We start from the raw sequence: 23,482 nt of genomic DNA on the forward strand, positions 1-23,482 counted from the left end.
CTCCTCTCCAACTCTTGGGCTCAAGCAATCCTCTTACTTTGGCCTCCCAAAATGCTGGAATTACAGGCATGAACCACTGTGCCTGGCCCATAATTTTCTCTTTTTTGAGACGGAGTCTCACTCTGTTGCCCAGGCTGGAGTGCAGTGGCGTGATCTCGGCTCACTGCAACCTCTGCCTCCCAGGTTCCAGCGATTCTCCTGCCTCAGCCTCCCAAGTAGCATAATTTTTTTGGGAGACCAGTCTCACTGTGTTGCCCAAGCTGGTTTGTAATTCCAGGATCAAGTGATCCTCCCGTCTCAGCCTCCTGAGTAGATGTAATTACAGGCGCACTGTGCCCCATGTTTCATAATTTTATAGTTAATATTATAAGAGGCAGAATATGTCCCCATTGTTTCTAACTTTCCATGCCAGAAAAGACACCTAAGAGAAAAGAAAATGTCAACTCATCCCAGAGTGAGAAGCATCCTAAGGGCTGCAGATGCCCCGGGGGAGCAGGGCTCCAAGAGAACCATCACAGGAAAGCGCTGAGAGCACCATCTAACCTGAACCCCCTTCAGCCACGACCAGCCTGGGAAGTACTGTTTAGTGTCACAGACATGCTGACAAACTCCTCTTAAACTCCTTTATAAACTTGTCATGCTTTCATCATTTTAAGAGTTAACCCTTTTCTCTCACGATAAACCTTTCAAATGTCTTTTTCTTTTCTTTCCTTTTTTGAGACAGGGTCTCACTCTGTTGTGCAGGCTGAAGTGCAGTGGTATGATCAGGGATCACCATAGCCTTGACCTCCCAGGCTCAAGCAATCGTCCCGCCTCAGCCTCCCCAGAAGCTGGGACTACAGGCATGCACCACCACACCTGGCTAATTTTTTGTATTTTTAATAAGAGACAGGGTTTCACCATGTTGCCTAGGCTGGTCTCGAACTTCTGGATTCAAGTGACCTATCTGCCTCGGCCTCCCAGAGTGTTGGGATTACAAGTGTGAGCCACTGCGCCCAGCCTCAAATATATTTTTAATTCAACTTCCCCAAATAAACCGTACTAACTAATAAATTTTCTTCAGCAATGGATCCAAAATGGCACTGGTGGCAATAATTTCAAGAAAGGCATTAGGTGGGCTGGGCGTGGTAGCTCACACCTGTAATCACACCACTTTGGGCAGCTAAGGCAGGAGGATTACTTGAGGCCATGAGCTCGAGACCAGCCTGAACAACTTGGTGAGACCCCCATCTCTGCATATAAATAAATAAATTTAGGCCAGGCAAGGTGGCTCACGTCTATAATCCCAGCACTTTGGGAGGCTGAGGTGGGTGGATCACCTGAGGTCAGGAGTTCGAGAACAACCTGGCCAACATGGTGAAACCCCGTCTCTACTAAAAATACAACAATTAGCCAGGTGTGGTGGCGCACGCTTGTAGTTCCAGCTACTTCGGAGGCCAAGGCAGGAGAATCGCTTGAACTCGGGAGGCAGAGATTGCAGTGAGCCAAGATCGTGCCACTGCACTCCAGTCTGGACGACAGCGAGACTCTGTCTCAAAACAATAAATAAATTAAAAAATAAATAAAATAATTTTAAAAGCTGACATGGTAGAGCATGCCTGTAGTCCTAGCTACTTGGAAGGCTGACATAAGAGGATCACTTAAGCCCAGGAGTCTGAGGCTACAGCATGCTAGGATCATGCCACTGCACTCCAGCAAGGGTGACAGAGTGAGACCCTCTCTCTAAAAAATAATAATAGCTGGCCGGGCGTGGTGGCTCATGCCTGTAATCCCAGCGCTTTGAGAGGCCGAGGCGGATGGATCACAAGGTCAGGAGATTGAGACCATCCTGGCTAACACGGTGAAACCCCATCTCTACTAAAAATACAAAAAAATTAGCTGTACTTGGTGGTGGGCACCTGTAGTCCCAGCTACTTGGGAGGCTGAGGCAGGAGAATGGCATGAACCTGGGGGGCGGAGCTTGCAGTGAGCACAGATCACGCCACTGCACTCCAGCCTGGGCGACAGAGCAAGACTCCGTCTCAAAAAAAAATAATGATAATACAAAAAAATTTGCCAGGCATGGTGGCGGGCACCTGTAGTCCCAGCTACTCGGGAGGCTGGGGCAGGAGAATGGCGTGAATCCAGAAGGCAGAACTTGCAGTGAGCCGAGATTGCACCACTGCACTCCAGCCTGGATGACAGAGCGAGACTCCGTCTCAGGAAAAAAAAAAAAAAAAAAAAGCTAATGTTTGAGTACCTACGTACTATGTGCGAAATACCGTGCTAAACATTTTGTATGTGTTATCTTATTCGCTTCTCACTAATACCTACAGGCCCGCAATATTATTCCTCATTTTGCAAAGAAACTGAGGCCCATCACATAAAGTTTCACAAGATCACACAGGGAGTGACAGAACCAGAATCGGTCTGACCCCAGGGCTGTGCTTTTATCTGGGCTCTGCTGCCTCTTATGTGAACCAAAAGCCAAGAAAAAAGGAAAAACCCTTACCTGGTTCATGCCTGCATTGGCAAAGAGCAAAGTGGGGTCATCCAATGGGATGGTGGCAGACGAGTGAACATACGTATGCTCGTTCCTCTTGAAGAAATCTATAAATCGCTGCCGGATTTCACTTGCTGTTAGAGTAGAGTCCATCTTGAAAGTCACCCCAAAGAACTAATCAAAGAAAAAAAAATGAAGGAAAATTAAGGGAATTGAAAGTCAAAGTACACATTACACAAGACTTCTGGCTTCTCAAGCCAAGTCAAAGCACGACTCAGGTGAGCTGTTTGATCCTAAAACCTCTATGTTGTAATGTCCAAGGCTAAAATCATCATCACCAGCAGACAGCAGCCCCATCTGTTCTTCCTTCCCATGCCAACCTCAAGAGGTTCAACACCCCAGCACACCAAGCACACTGCTGCTGGATGTTTGTTCATTAAACAAATATGTATCGAGCATCTGCTCTGTGTCAGGCCCGAGACTAGGAATTAGAAAAAAAGAGGGACAGCCAGGCACGATGGCTCACGCCTGTAATCCCAACACTTTGGGAGGGCAAGGTGGGCAGATCACAAGGTCAGGAGTTCAAGACCAGCCTGGCCAACATGGTGAAATCCCATCTCTACTAAAAATACAAAAAGTAACTGGGCATGGTGGTGCGTGCCTGTAATCCCAGCTACTTGCGAGACTGAGGCAGGAGAATCGCTTGAACCCAGGAGGTGGAGGTTGCAGTGAGCCAAGACCACACCACTGCACTCCAGCCTGGCGACAGAGAGAGACTCCGTCTCAAAAAAACAAAAAAAGAAGGAAAAAAAAAAAGAAAAAAAGGGGGAGAAAAACCCTCAGTTTAGTCCAACTGGGGAAGAGGGAGAGAGGCTCAGGAGACCGGGGTTTGAGTTCTAGCTTCAAGTCCTGAGGGAGTCACTTCACCAAAAAAAGGAGGGGTCCATATGAGATTATCTCTAAAGATCCCTTCAGCTCTGTGTTAATGTACACGCCTAGAACTGCAAAGTTCCACTAGCCCCAAAGTCAGGGTCTCTAGGTTTGGCCTGATGTCATGGTGAGGCGGCTGTCAGCAGCAATAGTCCTGGGGATGGGCCTATCTGTACAAGGGACCACCTGTATGTAGCAGGAATGTACCTACCTCTATGTAGCCTACATCCCCCAAGAACCCTAACAGCAAACGGCTGCCTTCCAGCCATTAGATTACCAGGGAGTGGGGATGCTGTAGCCCCACTTTGGAGGCACAGCTTACTGAAAGTGAAAGTACAAGGGAACTGGTGGAGAGAGAAAAAACTTTATGACTTCAAAGCTCTTTCACAAGTTGGGCGCGGTGGCTCACGCCTGTAATCCCAGCACTTTGGGAGACCGAGGTGGCAGAATTGCTTGAGCCCTGGAGTTTGAGACCACCCTGGGCAACATAGCAAGATCTTGTCAGTACAAATAGTAAAAAAATTAGCCAGGTGGGTGGATCACGAGGTCAGGAGATCCAGAACATCCTGGCTAACATGGTGAAACTCTGTCTCTACTAGAAAAAAAATACAAAAAATTAGCCGGGCGTGGTGGCAGGCGCCTGTAGTCCCAGCTACTCACAAGGCTGAGGCAGGAGAATGGCACGAACCCAGGAGGTGGAGGTTGCAGTCAGCCGAGATCGCGCCACTGCACTCCAGCCTGGGTGACAGAGCAAGACTCCGTCTCAAAAAAAACAAAAATGGCCGGGCGCGGTGGCTCACGCCTGTAATCCCAGCACTTTGAGAGGCCGAGGCAGGCGGATCACGAGGTCAGGAGATCAAGACTATCTTGGCTAACATGGTGAAACCCCGTCTCTACTAAAAATACAAAAAATAATCCGGGCATGGTGGCAGGCGCCTGTAGTCCCAGTTACTCGGAAAGCTGAGGCAGGAGAATGGCGTGAACCCAGGAGGCGGAGCTTGCAGTGAGCCAAGATCATGCCACTGCACTCCAGCCTGGGCGACAGAGACCTTGTGTCAACAAACAAACAAAAACAAAAACAGCTCTTTCACAGATATTACGATTTCCCTGAGAGGTAGGCTGGGGAGAAGTGACAGGCTTTGGTGAGAGTGCTGATCACTGGCATGGTGCTGTAGTGCCACAAACTGCTGTGTCTAGAAAAATGAGAACCATCTTATTCACAATATTATCATTATTATCAAAAAGTCTCTGGAATTCCAGACCCAACCGTAACCTTAATTCACTTTTGCCTGAGTTCAGTTCCTTTTCTGTAAAAAAGCAGTATCTACCCTGCCTACTCAACTGAGGTGTTGTGAGGATCAAAAGCTATACTGTATTTGGAAGCAATCTATAAAATGGAAAACGTTACGCCACGTGCGGTGGCTCACACCTGTAATCCCAGCACTTTGGGAGGCCAAGGTGGGTGGATCACCTGAGGTCAGGAGTTGAAGACCAGCCTGGCCAATATGGTGAAACCCCATCTCTACTAAAATACAAAAATTAGCCGGGAATGATGGCGAGTGCCTGTAATCCCAGCTACTCAGAAGGCTGAGATGGGAGAATCGCTTGAACCTGGGAAATAGTGGTTGCAGTAAGCCGAAATTGCGCCACTGCACTCCAGCCTGGGTGGCTGAGGGAGACTCCGTCTAAAAAAAAAAAAAAAGGAAAACCTTGAAGGAACAGAATGGATAATATTACTTTTAAGTTGTTTAGCTGAAAGTTTTCTTCTTTTTTTCTGGTTCTGTCCAGACTGGAGTGCAGTGGGACAATCACTTAAGCAGCCTTAAACTCCGAGGCTCAAGTAATCCTCCTGCCTCAGCCTCCCAAGTAACTGGGACTACAGTTGCACACCAGCATGCCCAGTTAATTTCTTTTTTTTTCTTTTTTGAGACAGAGTCTCACTCTGTCGCCCAGGCTGGAGCGCTGTGGCGCAATCTCAGCTCACTGCAGCTTCCACCTCCCAAGTTCCTGCAATTCTCCTGCCTCAGCCTCCTGGGTAACCTGGATTACAGGTAAGTGCCACCACACCCAGCTAATGTTTGTATTTTTAATAGAGACAGGGTTTCACCATGTTCCTCAGCCTGGTCTCGAACTCCTGACCTCAGGTGATCTGCCAGCCTCAGCCTCCCAAAGTGCTAGGATTACAGGCATGAGCCACCGCGCCCAGCTAATTTCTGTTTTTGTTATAAATGGAGTATTGCCATGCTGCCCACGCTGGTCTCGAACTCCTGGCCTCAATCTCCCAAGGTGTTGGGATGGCATGAGCCACCATGCCCAGCCAAAGTTTTCTCCTTATGAGGAAAATACAATAGAGATGTACAAAGTGAACAGGAGATCCTGACTCCAGCTACTTTCCAAAAGACACATGAATTTCCCATTTTTGCTTACTAATTCACCATAATGAATGCATACTATGTGCCAAGAATCAAAATGAATGACAGCCTATGTCCTTCCTGAGGAGACTATCATATGCAGAATTAACTGCAGTATTGTGTAAAAGGACTGAATATATTAACTATGAGTCTATGAAGGCTGAAACTATTAAAAGCTGTATCCCCACATTCATTTGTTTACCCCCATTTATTTATTCAATCTAAATTTATATTTATTCGATATAAATTCAATATATTTATTCAACATAAACTCATTGATTTATTCACTGGAGGGCTATATGGGATACAGAGGTAGCACAAAGGCAGAACCTCAGGTTTCACTTACTAACAGGAGCTGTAAAGGTCTTGGGTGCCTTAAATCACGCTGTGGCTCCAGCCACTCCACAGGAATTTTTTTTTTTTTTTTTTTTTTTTGAGACAGGGTCTCCCTCTCTGTCACCCAGGCTGGAGCGCAGGCAATGGTGCAATCACTTGGCCTTCCAGGCTCAGGTGTTCCTCCCACCTCAGCCTCCGGAGTAGCTAGGACTACAGGCATGTGCCACCAAACCCGACTAATTTTTTTGTATTTAAAAAAAATTTTTGAGGCCGGGTAGGGTGGCTCACGCCTATAATCCCAGTACTTTGGGAGGTCGAGGCGGGTGGATCACAAGGTCAGGAGATCAAGACCATCCTGGCTAACACGGTGAAACCCTGTCTCTACTAAAAATACAACACAACAAAAAATTAGCGGGGTGTGGTGGCACGCACCTATAATCCCAGCTACTTGGGAGGCTGAGGCAGGAGAATCGCTTGAACCTGGGAGGCAGAGGTTGCAATGAGCCAAGATCAACTGCACTCCAGCCTGGGCAACAGAAAATTTTCAGCCGGGTACAGTGGCTCACGCCTGTAATCCCAGCACTTTGGGGGGCCGAGGCGGGTGGATCACCTGAGGTCAGGAGTTCGAGAACAGCCTGGCCAACATGGTGAAACCCCATCTCTACTAAAAATACAAAAATTAGGCCGGGCGCGGTGGCTCACGCCTGTAATCCCAGCACTTTGGGAGGCCGAGGCGGGCGGATCACGAGGTCAGGAGATCGAGACCATCCTGGCTAACACGGTGAAACCCCGTCTCTACTAAAAATACAAAAAATTAGCCGGGCGTGGTAGCGGGCGCCTGTAGTCCCAGCTAGCTACTCGGGAGGCTGAGGCAGGAGAATGGCGTGAACCCGGGAGGCGGAGCTTGCAGTGAGCCGAGATCGCGCCACTGCACTCCAGCCTGGGCGACAGAGCGAGACTCCGTCTCAAAAAAAAAAAAAAAAAAAAAAAATTAGCTGGGCATGGTAGCGGGCGCCTGTAATCCCAGCTACTTGGGAGGCTGAGTCAGGAGAATTGCTTGAACCTGGGAGGCGGTGGCTGCAGCGAGCCGAGATCATGCCATTGCACTCCAGCCTGGGTGACAAAGCGAGACCTGTTTCAACTTTTTTTTTGAGGCAGGTCTCGCTCTGTCACCCAGGCTTTACACACAGGTCTCGCTCTGTCACTTTGGGAGGCTGAAACAGGAGGATTGCTTGAGGCCAGGAATTCAAGACCAGCCTGGGCAACATGGGAACACCTGAGCCTGGGAGGTCAATTTTTTTTTTAATTGGCCAGGTGTGGTGGTGTGCACCTGCAGACCCAGCTACTCGGGAGGCTGAGTCCAAAGGGTCGCTTGAGCACATAAGTTTGAGGCTGCAGTGAGCTATGGTCACACCAAAACATTCCAGCCTAGGTAACAGGGTGAGACCCTGACTCAAACAACAACAAACGTAAAGACACTTTTTCTTTTTTTTGAGACGGTGTTTCGCTCTTGTAGCCCAGGCTGGAGTGCAATGGTGCGCAACCTCGGCTCACCGCAATCTCCACCTCCCGGCTTCAAGCGATTCTCCTGCCTCAGCCTCCTGAGTAGCTGGGAATACAGGCATGTGCCACCACACCTAGCTAATTTTGTATTTTTAGTAGAGACGGGGTTTCTCCATGTTGGTCAGGCTGGTCTCGACCTCCTGACCTCAGGCGATCTGCCCGCCTCGGCCTCCCAAAGTGCTGGGATTACAGGGGTGAGCTACCGCGCCCGGCCAAGACACTTATTTAAGACAGCCTTCCCCTTCTTCTTTTTTTTTTTTTTTTTTTTTTGAGACGGAGTCTCGCTCTGTTGCGCAGGCTGGAGTGCAGTGGCGCGATCTCAGCTCACTGCAAGCTCCGCCTCCCGGGTTCACGCCATTCTCCTGCCTCAGCCTCCCGAGTAGCTGGGACTACTGGGACTACGGGCGCCAGTCACCACGCCCGGCTATTTTTGTATATTTGGTAGAGATGGGGTTTCACCGTGTTAGCCAGGATGGTCTCAATCTCCTGACCTCGTGATCTGCCCACCTCGGCCTCCCCAAGTGCTGGGATTACAGGCGTGAGCCACCGCGCCCGGCCGCCTTCCCCTTCTTGATAAGGCTCCCCCTCTTTTACTGTCTCACAGCCTCAAGTGTTTCCCTTCATAATTTCCATACGCGCTTCATGGATTGTTTAATGTGCGCCTCCCCCATCAGGCTGTCAGTTCCATCCCAGCAGCAACGACTGTTCTGGGCTCTTTTTTTTTTTTTTTTTTTGAAACGGAGTCTCCCTCTGTCACCCAGGCTGGAGTGCAATGGTGTGATCTCAGCTCACTGCAACCTCCGCCTGCCGGGTTCAAGCGATTCTCATGCCTCAGCCTCCGGAGTGGCTGAGAGTACAGGCGCGCGCCGCCACGCTCGGCTAATTTTTGTATTTTTAGTAAAGACGGGGTTTCACCATGTTGGCCAGGCTAGTCTCGAACCCCTGACCTCAGGTGATCCGCCCGCCTCGACCTCCCAAAGCGCTGGGATTACAGGCGTGAGCCTCCGCGCCTGGCCCTGGGCTATTACAGCACATCCTCAGCATCTAGTACAGTGGCTGCTAAATACGTATTTCGTGATCAGGTATACTAATCCTTTAACACCAAGTTCGGAATTAACTCACATGCTTCAAAGCACACCGAGAAATACAAACTGTTTTACAGAACAGCTTAAGATGACGGTCTCGGTGCGCCTGGACCGGCATCAGCTGTTTAGTTAATTTTAAGAAATCAAGGAATGGCTGGCTTACAGCAGGATTGCACCCAGCTGGCCCATCCTTCCTCCCGTGCCCCCACCCGCCCCTAGGGGATTAAAACCAAGGGAGCTAAAACCCCAGGTTGGCAACCGTGAGGTATTGGTGCTCAGCAAATCCACCCGAGGCCGCGACACTCGCAGCGCTCCCGGGGGCGAACGCAAGGCCACACTGTCCAGCTCCCGCTCCAGCCCAGACTGGGCTTCTCCAGGCCACGCGGGGCCTGATCCTGGGGCCCACTGCGGCTGCGGAGCTTTCCCCCCAGTCTGCGGGCCCAGCCGCTCTCCTAGCACCGCAGAGCTCTCCGAGGGCGGCCTACCTCTCCTAGGGTCGCCGTCCCCAGCTCCTCCCTCAGAGTCCCCCGCCAAGGGCCCGCTGCACCTATTCCCGCAGACGCGCAGCTGTACCGGCCTCAGACCACGACCTACCACAACCCGCCACGCTCCGTCCAATCAGAGCGCGCCGACGGAAAGTGCCCCGCCGCGCCTTACCTCATGAGATATTATTGGTCAACCAACATGCCAGTCAAACTGAGGACGAATCCGTTCATTAGTGGATTCCTGGGAAGGCGGCTCTAACTTGGCTGATGCAACTGCGAGAAAAGGTGGGATGGGGTGCGTCACATGATCGAGTTAGACCCCCCCCCGCCCCCCCCGCCCCCCCCCGCCCCCGGCTCCCGGAGGTCGACATTTTGGTTTCCATAGGCAAAGTCCTAACACCACAATTGACATAGTTAAAAAGGGGAGACGGTAACGTGTTTGGTAGAGGTTACATATCTTGCTATAGTTGTTTATTTTAGTTGCTGAGTGATACACAGCCCTCAAAGAGTCTGACATTGTGCCCATGGTTACACTTGTCCGGGGGAGACCTTGAATTTGGTGTGGAAGAAATAACATCAGTAGTTCAGGTACGATTGGATCAGCATCTGGTCCTCGATTTGCCTTTGGAAAAAAAAAAGTTAATATTTATAGGCCTGGGGGAGGAGGGTGAATATATATATATACATATACATATATACATGCCAGGTGCGGTGGCTCACGCCTATAATTGCAACACTTTGGGAGGCCAAGGTGGGAAGATCACCTGAACCCAGGAGTTGGAGACCAGCCTGGTCAACATAACTAGACCCTGTCTCTACGAAAAATTTTTTAAAAGGCCGGGCGCGGTGGCCCACACCTGTAATCCTAGCACTTTGGGAGGCTGAGGCCAACGGATGACGAGGTCAGGAGACCGAGAGCATCCTGGCCAACATGGTGAAACCCCGTCTCTACTAAAAACACAAAATTAGCCGGGCGCGCATCTGTAGTCCCAGCCACTCGGGAGGCTGAGGCAAGGGAATCCCTTGACCTCGGGAGGCGGAAGTTGCGGTGAGCCGAGATGGCGCCACTGCACTCCAGCCTGGCTACGGAGCAAGACTCCGTCTCAAAAAAAAAAATAAAAAATAAAAATTAGCCAGGCATAGTGGCGCATGCTTGTAGTCCCAGCTACTTGGGAGGTTGAAGTGGGAGGATCACTTGAGCCTAGGAAGTTGAGGCTGCAGTGAGCCCTGATCGTGACACTGCATTCCTTGGGCGACAGAGCGAGGCCCTGTCTGAAAAATATGTATGTATTTATACGTGAGGCATTGCATCAAACATTTCACATGCTTATTTCATTTGATTTTTAAACTGTGTATGAGGTCAGCTGGAGTCCCCTTTTTACAAATGAGGAAATTACCTTGCACAAGTTCACACCCAATAGTAAGTTGTGGAGACAGGATCCAAACCTGTGTCTATTTAACTCCAAAGCCCATGCTCTTAACCACTGCACTATTACCTCCATCATCTGATATATCCAAATACACGGGTAATAAATTGTGCTGCTGGTCATAACTCAAGTTACAGACAATACAGAAAAATACTACTTTTTATGCAAAAAGAGCATCCTACACAAAAAGAAGGTCAAGCCCAAAAGCCAGTAAAAACATAAATCATTTGATTTACTTTCCCACTTCATAGCTGCTCACAAATAGTAATCATCAAACCTACCATTTATTGAGCACTTAGTATACAGCAGGCACCAATCTAAGCTTTTAATCCTCACAACCTTATCATGAGTTACTACTACTATCTGCTTTTAACAGAGTAAAATAAGGCAGAGAGAGAGGTTAAGTAACACAGCTGAGGGCAAAACCAGGAGACACAAGTGTTTATTCTGATCCACAGTGCCCTAAATAACATATATTTAGCTTAAACAATCTGGGAAATGAGTCAGACTTCTAAGCCACCACACTTAAAATAGAAAGCCAAAAGGTATGTATGAATTGTACTTTCAGAATAAAATAATACAGGTTGTAATCTCAATAATTTAGTTCTGCTGCCAGAGTTGTTACTAGGATAGTACCTTCATTAATAAAATAATTATAAACAGATTAAAATAATTTTTTGGCCTAGCGTGGTGACTCATGCCTGTAATCCCAGCACTTTTGGGAGGCCTAGGCAGGCAGATCATGAGGTCAGGAGATTGAGACCATCCTGGCTAACACGACGAAACCCCGTCTCTACTAAAAAATACAAAAAAAGTAGCCGGGCGTGGTGGCGGGCGCCTGTAGTCCCAGCTACTCTGGAGGCTGAGGCAGGAGAATGGCGTGAACCCGGGAGGCGGAGCTAGCAGTGAGCCGAGATCAGGCCACTGCACTCCAGCCTGGGCCGCAGAGCGAGACTTTGTCTCAAAATAAATAAATAAATAAATAAGAATTTTTTATTCACCCATTAAGAGAGATTGTAGGCCAGCACAGAGACTCACACCTGTAATCCCAACACTTTGGGAGGCCAAGGCAGGAGGATCAATGGAGCCCAAGTGTTTGAAACCAGCCTAGGCAACATAGTGAGACTCTGTTAAAAAAAAAAAATTCTTTTTAATTAGCTAGGCGTGGTGGCATTCGCCTGTAGTCCCAGCTGCTCAAGAGGCTGAGGAAGGAGAATCACTTGGAGCCCAGAAGCTGAAGGCTTCAGTGAGCTGAGATCTCGCGACTGCACTCCAGCCTGGGCAACAAAGCAAGACCCTTGTCTCTCTCTCTTTTTTTTTCCTTTTTTTGAGGCAGAGTTTCACTCTTGTTGCCCAGGCTGGAGTGCAATGGCATGATCTCGGCTCATGTCAACATCTGCCTCCTGGCTCAGCCTCCCGAGTAGCTGAGATTACAGGCGCCACCACCACGCCCAGTTATTTTTTTTTCTTCTATTTCTAGTAGAGATGAGGGTTTCGCCATGTTGGCCAGGCTGGTCTTGAACTCCCGACCTCAGGTGATTCGCCTGCCTTGGCCTCCCAAAGTGTTGGGATTTCAGGCGTGAGCCATCGCGTCCGGCCCCCTTGTCTCTTAAAACAAAAAAAAGAAAGAAATTGTAATTGAGGCCCAAAAGTCTCATTCTAATATAATTATCTAATGATATTTTTCTGTGATATTTTTCTCTTGTAGATGTCAACTACATGCTAGAAAGAATGCTATCTTAATGCAATGTGCAAATTATGTATTTTAGGAAACTACTGGCAAGTTCTTGATTTACTCTAGGCTAAGCAAATAGGCCTGTAGGTGGGAGTGAGCGATATGCACATGGCTTGCTCTCCAGTAGAACATTTGTTGAACTCCATCTTGGGGCATGAGAAAGATAACCAAAGAACTGAAATAGTACAACAGCTGTGATTGCCCCACTACCCTCCAGCCTGGGCCGCAGAGTGAAACAACAGGCCAGGCACAGTGGCTCATGCCTGTAATCCCAACACTTTGGGAGGCCGAGGCGGGCAGATCACCTGAGGTTGGGAGTTCAAAATCAGCCTGGTCAACCTGGTGAAACCCCATCTCTACTAAAAATACTAAAATTATCTGGGTGTGGTGGCGGCCACCTGTAATCCCAGCTACTCAGAAGGCTGAGGCAGAGGCTGCAGTGACTCAAGATTGTGCCACTGCACTCCAGCCTGGGAGACAAGAGGGAAACTCTGTCTCAAAAAAATTAAATTAAATTAAATTTAAAAAATAATAAAAACAACAAACAGAAACAGGCCGGCGTGATGGCGTATACCTTTAATCACCATACTTTGGGATTCTGAGGTGGGTGGATGGCTTGAGCCCAGGAGTTTGAGACTAGCCTGAGCAACATGACAAAACTCAACCTCTACAAAAAAATACAAAAATTAGCTGGGCATGGTGGCATGCATCTGTAGTCCCAGCTATTCAGGAGGCTGAGGTGGGAGGATAGCTTGAGACAGGGAAGTAAAGGATGCAGTAAGCCATGATCGTGCCACTGCACTCCAGCCTGGGTGGCAGAATGAGACAGTGTCTCAATTGAAAAAAAAAAGAAAGAAATGGAAACAAGTGGAAAAAAAAAAAAACTAACATAGCTTTGGAAGGATGTAGCGCTAGACTCTTAACTCTCCCATGGCATCTTAGCTACTTTTAGCATCTATAAAATGGGTTTACAATGCTGGCTTATTTGGTACTAAGTCAAATGGGGATGGCTGAATTTTTTTTTTTTTTTTTTTTTTTTTGAGACGGAGTCTCGCTCTGTCGCCCAGGCCGGACTGCGGACTGCAGTGGCGCAATCTCGGCTCACTGCAAGCTCCGCTTCCTGGGTTCACGCCATTCTCCTGCCTCAGCCTCCCGAGTAGCTGGGACTACAGGCGCCCGCCACCGTGCCCGGCTAATTTTTTGTATTTTTAGTAGAGACGGGGTTTCACCTTGTTAGCCAGGATGGTCTCGATCTCCTGACCTCATGATCCACCCGCCTCGGCCTCCCAAAGTGCTGGGATTACAGGCGTGAGCCACCGCGCCCGGCCAAGGCTGAATTTTTAAGAACCTCTAAAGGAATATTTCAATTGAGCATATTATAATTTTTTTGTCTAATGTACTTTTCAGACCATAAAACGCTAAAGGAATCACCTAGGATCTTAAAATATTGCTAAATTGAATAGGTCTGGGGTAGGGCCTGAGAGCCTGAATTTTTTTTTTTTTTTTTTTTTTTTTTTGAGACGGAGTCTCACTCTGTCGCCCAGGCTGGAGTGCAGTGGCGCGATCTCTGCACACTGCAAGCTCCGCCTCCCGGGTTCACGCCATTCTCCTGCCTCAGCCTTGCGAGTAGCTGGGACTACAGGCGCCCGCTACCACGCCCAGCTAATTTTTTGTATTTTTAGTAGAGACGGGGTTTCACAGTGTTAGCCAGAATGGCCTCGATCTCCTGACCTCGTGATCCACCCGCCTCGGCCTCCCAAAGTGCTGGGATTACAGGCGTGAGCCACCGTGCCCGGCCGAGAGCCTGCATTTTTAACAGGCTTCAGGCGATATCTATGCTGCTGAGAGATTATACTTGGAATACCAAGGGTCTAGATTAGAGGATGTGCGTCTGCACCTATTTGTTCAGATGCAAAATTTTTAAAAAGTTTGACCCACGGGGGGAGATGCTAATGGCTCATGATTCACCAAATGAGTGACCACTATGTGTTAGTCACTGAGGATCAAGATTAAAGATCTTGCCCTGCCCTCATGGAGTTCCCAGTCTCACCAGGAAGCCAGACATTTAGCAGGAAACAAAGCCCTCTGCGGGAGGCTTGCGCTTGTCTTTGGCCCCCAGAGTTCCTGGGGCGCGTGCCCGAGCGCTGTACCGTCCCCTCAGCTGATTGGCTGACAGGATTTCCAGGCCTCAGCCAATGAGGCTCCGGCTTGGCCAGTGCCAAGAGCAGCGGTTGTTGGAGTGTAACTGCCATGCTCAGCCGCGATGGCTGGGGCTGCCGGGCGCGTCCAAGATCGCGCCCTGCGGCGGTTTCCCATCACCCTGCCTGTGGGCGACGTGAGTATCTGCGAGGGTAGAAGCCAGACCCTTTCCTCCCACGTTTAGGTGCCTTCCTCGCCCCTACTCCTGGGTAGAGGAATAACAATATTTCTCGAGGCTTCGGCCCAAGGTCTTAGCCTTGTGATCTAGAATCCGCCATCTGTGAGGTGGGTACTTCCTGTGATTTCAGGGGAAACTGAGACTGGCTAGGCTCACGTGGGAATAAATGCAGGAGGCTGAATTCCAATCCAGATGCTCTTATTCCCCGAACACTCTTCTTTCCACGCCCGCTTTGGAAACCAGGTTCCTTCTTAGCCGGAGTCTCACAAAGCGCAGGTGTATTGGGGGTGAACTTAGGAGAGTCTGAAACCCCGATGCTATTTTTAAGTTTTTTTGTTTTTTGTTTTGTTTTGAGACAGGCTGGAGTGCAGTGGCATGATCACGACTCACTGCAGCCTTGAACTCCTGGGATCAAGTGATCCTCCCACCTCAGCCTCAGGAGTAGCTGGGACTACAGGCTCACGCCACCACGCCCAGCTACTTAAAAAAAATTTTTTTTTTTTTTTGGTAGAGACGGGGTCTCCCTATGTTGCCCAGGCTTGCATATTTATTTAGTAGAAGAAAAAACACATGCTAAAATCGTGTACGGGAAGGATAAACACCAAATTTGGCATAGCTGCTGTCTTCCTGGGATGAGTATACGGAGATTATCAATTGGACCTTAGTAATTTTATTTATTAAGTTTTGAGGTGGGAATCTAAGTATTTGTTATACCCTTTCTTGTTTGTCTGAAATACATTTTTAAAAGGGAAACATGGAGCCAAGCACAGCTGCACACACCTGTAGTCCCAGCTACTTGGGAAGCAGAGGCAGGTGAACCTCTTGAACTCAGGAGTTCAAGGATATAGTATGTGCTGTAATGGTGCCTGTGAATAGCCACTGCACTCCAGCCTGGGCAACATAGCAAGACCCTGTCTCTAATTTAAAAAAAACCATGCATATGGAAAATAATTTCAGAGGATAAAGCATACTCAATCCACCCCCACCCTTCTAGAGGCCCTCACCAGGGGCAGCCATGGTTATCAGTTTTGTGTGTATCTTAAGCATTTTTTTTTTTTTTTTTGAGACAGAGGCTCGCTCTGTTGCCCAGGCTGGAGTGCAGTGGCATGATCTCAGCTCACTGCAACCTCTGCCTCCTGGGTTCAAGCAATTCTCTGCCTCAGCCTCCCAAGTAGCTGGGATTACAGGCACCCACCACCATGCTCAGCTGATTTTTGTATTTTTAGTAGAGACAGAGTTTCACCATCTTGACCAGGCTGATCTTGAACTCCTGACCTCGTGATCCACCACCTTGGCCTCCCAAACTGCTGGGATTACAGGCGTGAGCCACCGCACCTGGCCACATTTTTTTTTTTTTTAAGAGGCGATGGTTTCACTATGTTGTCCAGGCTGGCTTCGAACTTCTGAGCTCAGGCGATCCTCCAACCTCAGCTTCAGGAGTAGCTGGGACTGCAGACACAGGCCACTGCTCCGGTCTTCTTAGGCATTTTCCATAGTGTATAAAAGCATATATGGGAGCTTGGGGGCTTTTGGGGTGGGGGTTCCTGTTTGTTTTGTACAAGTGAACCTACTATATACGGTCCTGCAACTTGGGCGATGTAATTTTTAACCTCATTAAAATGTTTTGCAAATTTCATTAACCTCTAGCCCTGTGAAACAATATAATTTATCTGGGAAAATATCCCCAGGGTTGCTTCTGAATTGATGAGATGTAGGTCATGGCTACCAAGGTGGTGTTTGCCTTTTTCTTTTTAGCACATCCTCATGTGTAAGGTCAAAAACAAAAAACAAAAACGTCTTCTCCAGTTAACCCTGTGAGAGTGCAGGAAAAAATAATCATAGCAAGTAGAATGTTCTCTGGAACTGCTTTACCCTTTCTCAAAACGTTTTTACTCTTACAGTACTGGTAAAATTCCACAGAGAACCCACCATGGCTTGATTTTTGTTTGTTTGTTTTTATTTATGTATTTATTTGAGACAGAGTCTTGCTCTGTCGTCCAGGCTGGAGTGCAGTGGCATGATCTTGGCTCACTGCAACCTCCACCTCCCGGGTTCAAGCGATTCTCCTGCCTCAGCCTCCCAAGTAGCTGGGACTACAGGTGCATGCCACCACACCCAGCTAATTTTTGTATTTTTAGTAGAGACAGGGTTTCACCATGTTGGTCAGGATGGTCTCAATCTCCTGACCTCGTGATCCACCTGCTTTGGCCTCCCAAAGTGCTGGGATTACAGGTGCAAGCCACCGTGCCCAGTCTATTTATTTATTTTTTTTGAGACAGAGTTTCACTCGTCGCCCAGGCTGCAGTGTGATGGCATGATCTCGGCTCACTGCAACCTTTGCCTTCCGGGTTCTAGTGATTCTCCTGCCTCAGGCTTACAAGTAGCTGGGATTACAGGTGTGCACCACCATGCTTGGCTAATTTTTGTATTTTTAGTAGAGATAGGGTTTCACCATGTTGGCCAAGCTGGTCTTGATATCCTGACCTCAGGTGATCCACCCACCTTGGCCTCCCAAAGTGCTGGGATTACAGGTGTGAGCCATTGTGCCCGGCCTCATGGCTTGAAATTAACTTATTGTTGTATAATATTGGCAAAATGAAAGAGGTTGGGATTCATTTTTTTCAGATTGTAGGAAAATGCCTAGTTTCTTTCTAGGGAAGTAACAAGGGAAGAGAAGCTTCTTTGATTCTAGTTAGGAGAAAGCAGTTCTTTCATTTAATCCTTATTTTACAACTACTAAAAGCCCAAGATATTTCTTCCTATTTATTTATTTGTTTATGAGGCAGAGTCTTACTCTGTTGCGCAGACTAGAGTGCAGTGACACAAACACTGCTAACTGCAGCCTCAACCTCCTGGGCTCAAGTGATCCTCCCACCTCAGCCTCCCAAGTAGCTGGAACTGCAGGCATGTGCGACGACACCTGGCTAATTTTTAAATTTTTCTTGTGTAAGGATAAGGCCTCGCTATGTTGTTGTTTTCAAACTCCTGGATTCAAGCGATCCTCCCACCTCCACCTCCCAAAATGCTAGGATTACACATGTGAGCTACTGTGCCTGGCCAATCCTGGCACTTTGGGAGGTGGAGGTGGGAGGATCACTTGAGCTCAGGAGTTTGAGACCAGCCAGGACAACACAGCAAGATCTGTCTCTATCTTAAAAAAACAAAAGGCCGGGTGCAGTGGCTCACGCCTGTAATCCCAGCACTTTGGGAGGCCAAGGCAGGCGGATCACGAGGTCAGGAGATTGAGACCATCCTGGCCAACATGGTGAAACACCATCTCTATTAAAAATAGAAAAACTAGCTGGGCATGGTGGCGCATGCTTGTAATCCCAGCTACTTGGGAGGCTGAGGCAAGAGAATTTCTTGAACCCAGGAGGTGGAGGTTGCAGTGAGCCGAAATCGTGCCACTGCACTCCAGCCTGGGCGACAGAGCCAGACTCAATCTCAAAAAACAAACAAAAACCCAAGTGCTGAGATTACAGGCATGAGCCACCACACCTAGCTCTATTTAATTATTTTACTATTTTAATTTTATTTATTTTTTTCCTAGACAGAGTTTTGCTCTGTCACCCAGGCTGGAGTGCAGTGGCCCTGTCATGGCTCACTGCAGCCTAGACCTCCTGGGCTCAAGTGATCCTTCCGCCTCGGCCTCCAGAAGTGCTGGGATTACATGCATGAGCCACCGCACCGTCTGTTTTCTTCCTTTTTAACATTCTCCTGATTCTACAACGCTTACATAGGAGAGCTGCAATTCCTCCTCTTGGGGTACAAATTTATGAGTGCAGGTGCAGTTTTGTTACATGCCTAACAAGATTGCATAGTGGTCAAGTGGACTTTTAACCAAATGGGTTGTCAGGGCTGATTGCCAACATCTGGACATTTTAAATTACCAATCTGAAAAGGGAAACAGCTCTGTGCTTGTTTTGCATTTTGGTGACTATTGGTAATGGTTTTCTGTTTTGATATATTCAATCTGTTCAATCTGTATTAGTGCCTACTCTGCCACTGTGTTGGGCGGGAATCTGATTTTGTTCTTTGGTTGGAGATCCAAGTTAACCAGAGCTTAGGCATTTTAAGATAACTACCTCAGCTTGATAGGAAAGCTTGCTCTGCCCGGGGTTGAGGGGTACGGGTCTGAGGGCAACAGAATCGACAGCCTCAAGTGGGCAAAGGGTGGCCAAACAGGAGTGGCCTCCGACGTCACTGTGGCGCGCCGCTTCCGGTCTGCAGCCTTGTAGTGGGGCTGGAGCAGAGCCTGCCGCGAACCCCCGGAGCCCACGATCCCTCGTGCCATCCCTCGAATCCACCAGCACGAGCGTCCCACCCGCGCCTGGGACCATGGCCACTGACTCATGGGCCCTGGCGGTGGACGAGCAGGAAGCTGCGGCTGAGTCGGTGAGTTGGCTTCAGCCCTAAAAGGGTCAGGGGACTAGTTCTGGTCGGAGACTTGGTCCCTGGGAAAGAATGTTTCCCAGGTTGATTAGAGGCTGGATGGGGTGGCGGGGAGGATAGGGATGGAGCCTGGACCCTGAGCTGGCTTTGTTTACGCAGCCGCCTCCGCGTTACGTAAGCGCAGGTGAGTGCTCCTATCGGTAAAGCGCTCAGCTGCCTGTCTGTCTTCCTGGAACCAGGAAGAATCATAGATTGCACCCATCACCCTAGATTGTGTTTTGTTTGTTTTTAATTGAAATAGAGACATGGTCTTGCTAGGTTGCCCAGGCTAGTCTGGAACTCCTGGTCTCAAGCTATCTTCCTGCCTCGGCCTTTCAAAGCACCAGGATTACAGGCTGAGCCATTGTTCCTGGCCGCCCCGGTTTGTAATAGTTATTTTAGGTGTCATTCTCCACCTCTACATTCAGAGCTTCTTTGGCTCAGGGACCATGTCTTTGCTCATATTTGTGTGCTTCCTCAGTGATAAATGATGGACCCAGTAGGTGTGGCAGTCAGCAAATCCTTTCCTCATCGGCTTCACTTTGTTCTTTTTTTCTGGACCTGACACATGGTAAGCAAGAGATGTGTTAAACACTACTGCGTAGAATTAATTTCTCCCACCGAAACACTTTAAATCCTAGTAGGCTTTGAACCTACTTCTGTTAGTACTTATTGCTATGACTTCCTCAAGAATAAGAACCTTGTCTTTTATTTTTTATAGCTCATAAAAAATAAGTTGTATATACACATTGTTTAAAGAGTGAAGTTATTTTAAAAACAACGGTTCCCGCCAATTTTTTTCCTCCCCAGAGGCAACTCCTTTTTTTTTTTTGGAGACAGGGTCACACTCTGTTGCCCAGGCTAGGGTGCAGTGGAGTGATCTTGGCTCACTGCAGTCTCTGCCTCCCAGGCTCAAGCCATCCTCCCACCTCAGCCTCCTGAGTAACTGGGACTGTAGTCATGTGCCACTATGCCCAACTACTTTTTGTATTTTTTTTGTAGAGATGGGGACTTGCCATGTTGCCCAGGCTGGTCTCGAACTCCAGCGTGCAAGTGATCCACCTGCCTCAGCCTCCCAAAGTGCTGGGATTACAGGTGTGAGCCACTGCATCCAGCCTCTTTTTTCTGTTTCTTTCTTTCTTTACATATATTTTTTGAGAGAGGGTCTTGCCCTGTCACCCAGGCTGGAGTGCATTGACACCATCTCTTGCCAACTACAACCTCCCCTTCCCAGGCTCAAGTGATCCTCCCACCTCAGCTTCCTGAGTAACCGGGACTACAAGCATGTGCCAACATATGCAGCTAACTTTTTAATTTTTTGTGAAGACGAGGTCTCACTATATTACCCAGGTTGGTCTTGACCTGCTGGGCTCAAGCCATCCTCCCACCTCGGCCTCCCAAAGTGTTGGGATTATAGGCCTGAGCCACTTTGCCTGGCCCTTTACTTTTCTATAAAATTTATTTTACTTGGAATTCTTAATTGCCTTATGTTTATGCTTCATTTTTTTTTCTTAATTATCAATTCAACCCCAAACTGTCTTCCAGTTGTCTAAGTTTATCTCAGGATGCTTAGACTCATCAAGTATTCTATCAATTCCATTTCTCCTAGGCCTTTAAGTCTGCTTCAAATTGGACTAGTTACTCCTGTCTTTAGAGCACAGTTCATATTGGGGAATAGAGGGAACAGGGCAAATTTCCCTTCAGCCTCATTCTGCAGATTCCTTCCTCCTTTCTCTTGTCTTTTGGATCTCTTGGATCCCTTCCTTTCTGTACCCCTACTTTTCCATCTTTCTTGATTTATTCCTTATTTTAGTGCAGCCATCTGTCAGCTTTCTGGAGGTGTACGGGAAGTAAATTACTTTAAGAATATTCCATGTCTTAAAAAATCTAACTTTGCCCTGTAATTTGGATAATAGTTTGGCTGGGTATAGAATTGTAGGTTGAAAATTATTTTCCTGCCAAATTTTAAATGTATTGTTCCATTGCCTTCTAGATTTCTGTATTTGTTGTTGAAATGTTTGAGACCATCCTGATTCTTGATGTGACTTGTTTTCCCCTTTCTAAGCTTGGAGAATCTTCTGTTTGTCTTTAATATTCAGAAAATTTATGGTAATATGTCTTGGTATGGGTGTATTTTCATCCATATTACTGGCCCCTGGGTGTGGGTACTTTCAATCTGAAAAACTCTTGTTCTTCAGTTATGAGAACTTTTCCTGAATAATTTCATTGCTGATTTCTTCTTCTTTGTTTTTTCTTAATTCCCTCTTTTCCAGAACTCACTTTCTCTCTTTCTTTCTCTCTCTCTCTTTTTTTTTTTTTTTTAAGACAGTGTCTGTCTATGTTGCCCAATTTGGAGTGCAGTAGCTATTCACAGGCAGAATCATAGTGTACTACAACCTTGAACTCCTGGGCTCAAGTGATCCTCCTGCCTCAGCCTCCCTCGTAGCTGGGACTACAGGTGCGCACCACTGCATAGCTTTTCCCAGAACTCTTATTAGATGAATGTTGGATCTGTTGGACTGGCCCTTTAATTTTTTTTTTTTTTTTGAAATGAAGTTTCGCTCTTGTCCGCCAGGCTGGAGTGCAATGGCACGATCTTGGCTCACTGCAACCTCTGCTTCTTGAGTTCAAGCGATTCTCCTGCCTCAGCCTCCCGAGTAGCTGGGATTACAGGCATGTGCCACCATGCCTGGCTACTTTTTGTATTTTTAGTAGAGGTGGGGTTTCACCATGTTGGCCAGGCTGGTCTTGAACTCCTGACCTCAAGTGATCCGCATGCCTCAGCCTCCCAAAGTCCTAGAATTACAGGCGTGAGCCACCACACCTGGCCAGCCCTTTAATTTTTTTAAAAGTCAGGTTTATGGAGGTATAATTTACACAGAGTAAAATTAAACTTTGTTAGTGTACAGTTCTATGAATTTTGACAAAAGCATACAGTTGTGTAACTACCACCACAGGCAACACATAAACCCTCTCTACAAAGAACTACAACTTCTTGTAGTTCACTCCCTCTCCTCACCCTTCTCTGGCAGCTGCTGATATGTTTTCTGTCATTATAGTTTTGCCTTTTCCAACATGTCATAAAATGGAATCATATATATAATATATAACCTTTTGAAAAGTCTGGCTTCTTCCACTTAGTATTATGCATTTAGAATTCAACCAAGTTGCATGTATCAGTAGTTCATTCCTTTTTATTGCTGAGTAGAATTCCACTGTGGATATATATACACAGTTTGCTTATTCTTCTATTGATGGACACTTGAGTAATTTTCAGTCTGAGACAATATGAAGAAAGCTACTCTATACATTAAGGTACAGATTTTTGTATGGACATATGTTTGCATTTCTCTTGGGTAAAGTCAATATCAAAGAGTAGGATTTACTGTGTTATGTCGTATGTGTTTAACTTTGTAAGTTATGTGCCAAACTATTTTCCAAAGTGTATCATTCTGCTTTTCCAACAGCAATGGATGAGAGCTTCAACTGCCCCACACCCTTCCCTGCACAGTATTGTCAGTTTCCTTCATTCTAATAGGTACATGCTGGTGTCTCATTGTGGTTTTAACTTATATATCTCCCTAATGACTAATGATGTTGACAATCTTTTCATGTGCTTATTTGCCATGTATGTAACTTCTTTGAAGTGGCTTTTCAAACCTTTTGCCCATTTTTAAAGTAGGATTGTTTTTGTTTTTAGTTGGGAAGTTTCTTTATATATTCTGGATAGAAGTTCTGTTTTTTGTTTTTGTTTTTGTTTTTTTTGAGACAGGGTCTCACTCTGTCACCCAGACTAGAGTCAGGCTAGAGTGCAGTGGCATGATCTTGGCTCACTGAAACCTCCACCTCCTGGGCTCAAGGGATTCTCCCACCCTGTCTCCAGAGTAGCTGGGACCACAGGCATGCGCCACCACATCTGGCTAATGTATGTATTTTTTGTAGAGACAGGGTTTTGCCATGTTGCCCAGGCTGGTCTTGGAACACCTGGGTTCAAGCAATCCGCCCACCTGGGCCTCCCAGAGTGCTGAGATGGATTACAGGCATGATAAGTCCTTTATCGGATATGTTTTGCATATATTCTCTCAAACTACAACTTGTCTTTTTTCAACAGTACTTTTCAAATAATAGACATTTTCAACTTTGATTAACCTAATTTATCAATTTTTGTTTGTTTGTTTGTTTTTGAGACGGAGGCTTGCTCTGTCGCCTGGGCTGGAGTG

At 47.4% G+C, this 23,482-nt stretch overlaps 2 protein-coding genes across 10 annotated transcripts in view, besides 4 other annotated features; one reads left to right on the forward strand and one right to left on the reverse strand.

Moving 5' to 3' along the window:
- The window catches only part of AARS1 (alanyl-tRNA synthetase 1), a 37,209-nt gene extending 27,831 nt beyond the window's left edge, over nt 1-9,378 (reverse strand). For both annotated transcript variants that reach the window (NM_001605.3, XM_047433666.1), the window contains exons 1-2: nt 9,293-9,378; nt 2,492-2,656 (exon numbers count right to left, since the gene is read on the reverse strand). In NM_001605.3, the coding sequence (NP_001596.2) occupies nt 2,492-2,635 (144 nt within the window). In that variant the 5' untranslated portion in view covers nt 2,636-2,656; nt 9,293-9,378. The remainder of the gene's footprint in view (nt 1-2,491; nt 2,657-9,292) is intronic.
- Nucleotides 3,793-3,991: a silencer, noted in NCBI's record as "fragment chr16:70317824-70318022 (GRCh37/hg19 assembly coordinates)". NCBI's record gives its function as "represses an EF-1alpha promoter that drives an FKBP-Casp9 reporter gene in an ReSE screen in K562 erythroleukemia cells {active_cell/tissue: K562}" and the evidence as "EXISTENCE:reporter gene assay evidence [ECO:0000049][PMID:32094911]".
- Nucleotides 8,594-8,723: a silencer, noted in NCBI's record as "silent region_7671". NCBI's record gives its function as "represses an Ori minimal core promoter by ATAC-STARR-seq in GM12878 lymphoblastoid cells {active_cell/tissue: GM12878}" and the evidence as "EXISTENCE:reporter gene assay evidence [ECO:0000049][PMID:35858748]".
- DDX19B (DEAD-box helicase 19B) overlaps nt 9,639-23,482 on the forward strand; it is a 45,539-nt gene continuing 31,695 nt past the window's right edge. For 3 of the 8 annotated variants that reach the window (NM_001014451.3, NM_001014449.3, NM_001257175.2), the window contains exon 1: nt 18,925-19,226. In NM_001014451.3, the coding sequence (NP_001014451.1) occupies nt 19,170-19,226 (57 nt within the window). In that variant the 5' untranslated portion in view covers nt 18,925-19,169. Of the gene's footprint in view, nt 9,881-14,648; nt 14,939-18,924; nt 19,227-23,482 lie in introns of those variants that run through there. The other 5 variants (NM_001363938.1, NM_001257172.2, NM_001257174.2 and 2 more) reach the window with 4 other exon arrangements.
- Nucleotides 18,878-19,172: an enhancer, noted in NCBI's record as "tiled region #7868; HepG2 Activating DNase unmatched - State 1:Tss, and K562 Activating non-DNase unmatched - State 1:Tss". NCBI's record gives its function as "activates a minimal TATA promoter and a strong SV40 promoter by Sharpr-MPRA in HepG2 and K562 cells {active_cell/tissue: HepG2 | K562}" and the evidence as "EXISTENCE:reporter gene assay evidence [ECO:0000049][PMID:27701403]".
- Nucleotides 18,904-19,133: an enhancer, noted in NCBI's record as "active region_11052". NCBI's record gives its function as "activates an Ori minimal core promoter by ATAC-STARR-seq in GM12878 lymphoblastoid cells {active_cell/tissue: GM12878}" and the evidence as "EXISTENCE:reporter gene assay evidence [ECO:0000049][PMID:35858748]".

The sequence above is a fragment of the Homo sapiens genome, chromosome 16, assembly GCF_000001405.40.
Source record: "Homo sapiens chromosome 16, GRCh38.p14 Primary Assembly".
In the NCBI taxonomy this organism is placed as follows: Eukaryota; Metazoa; Chordata; class Mammalia; order Primates; family Hominidae; genus Homo; species Homo sapiens.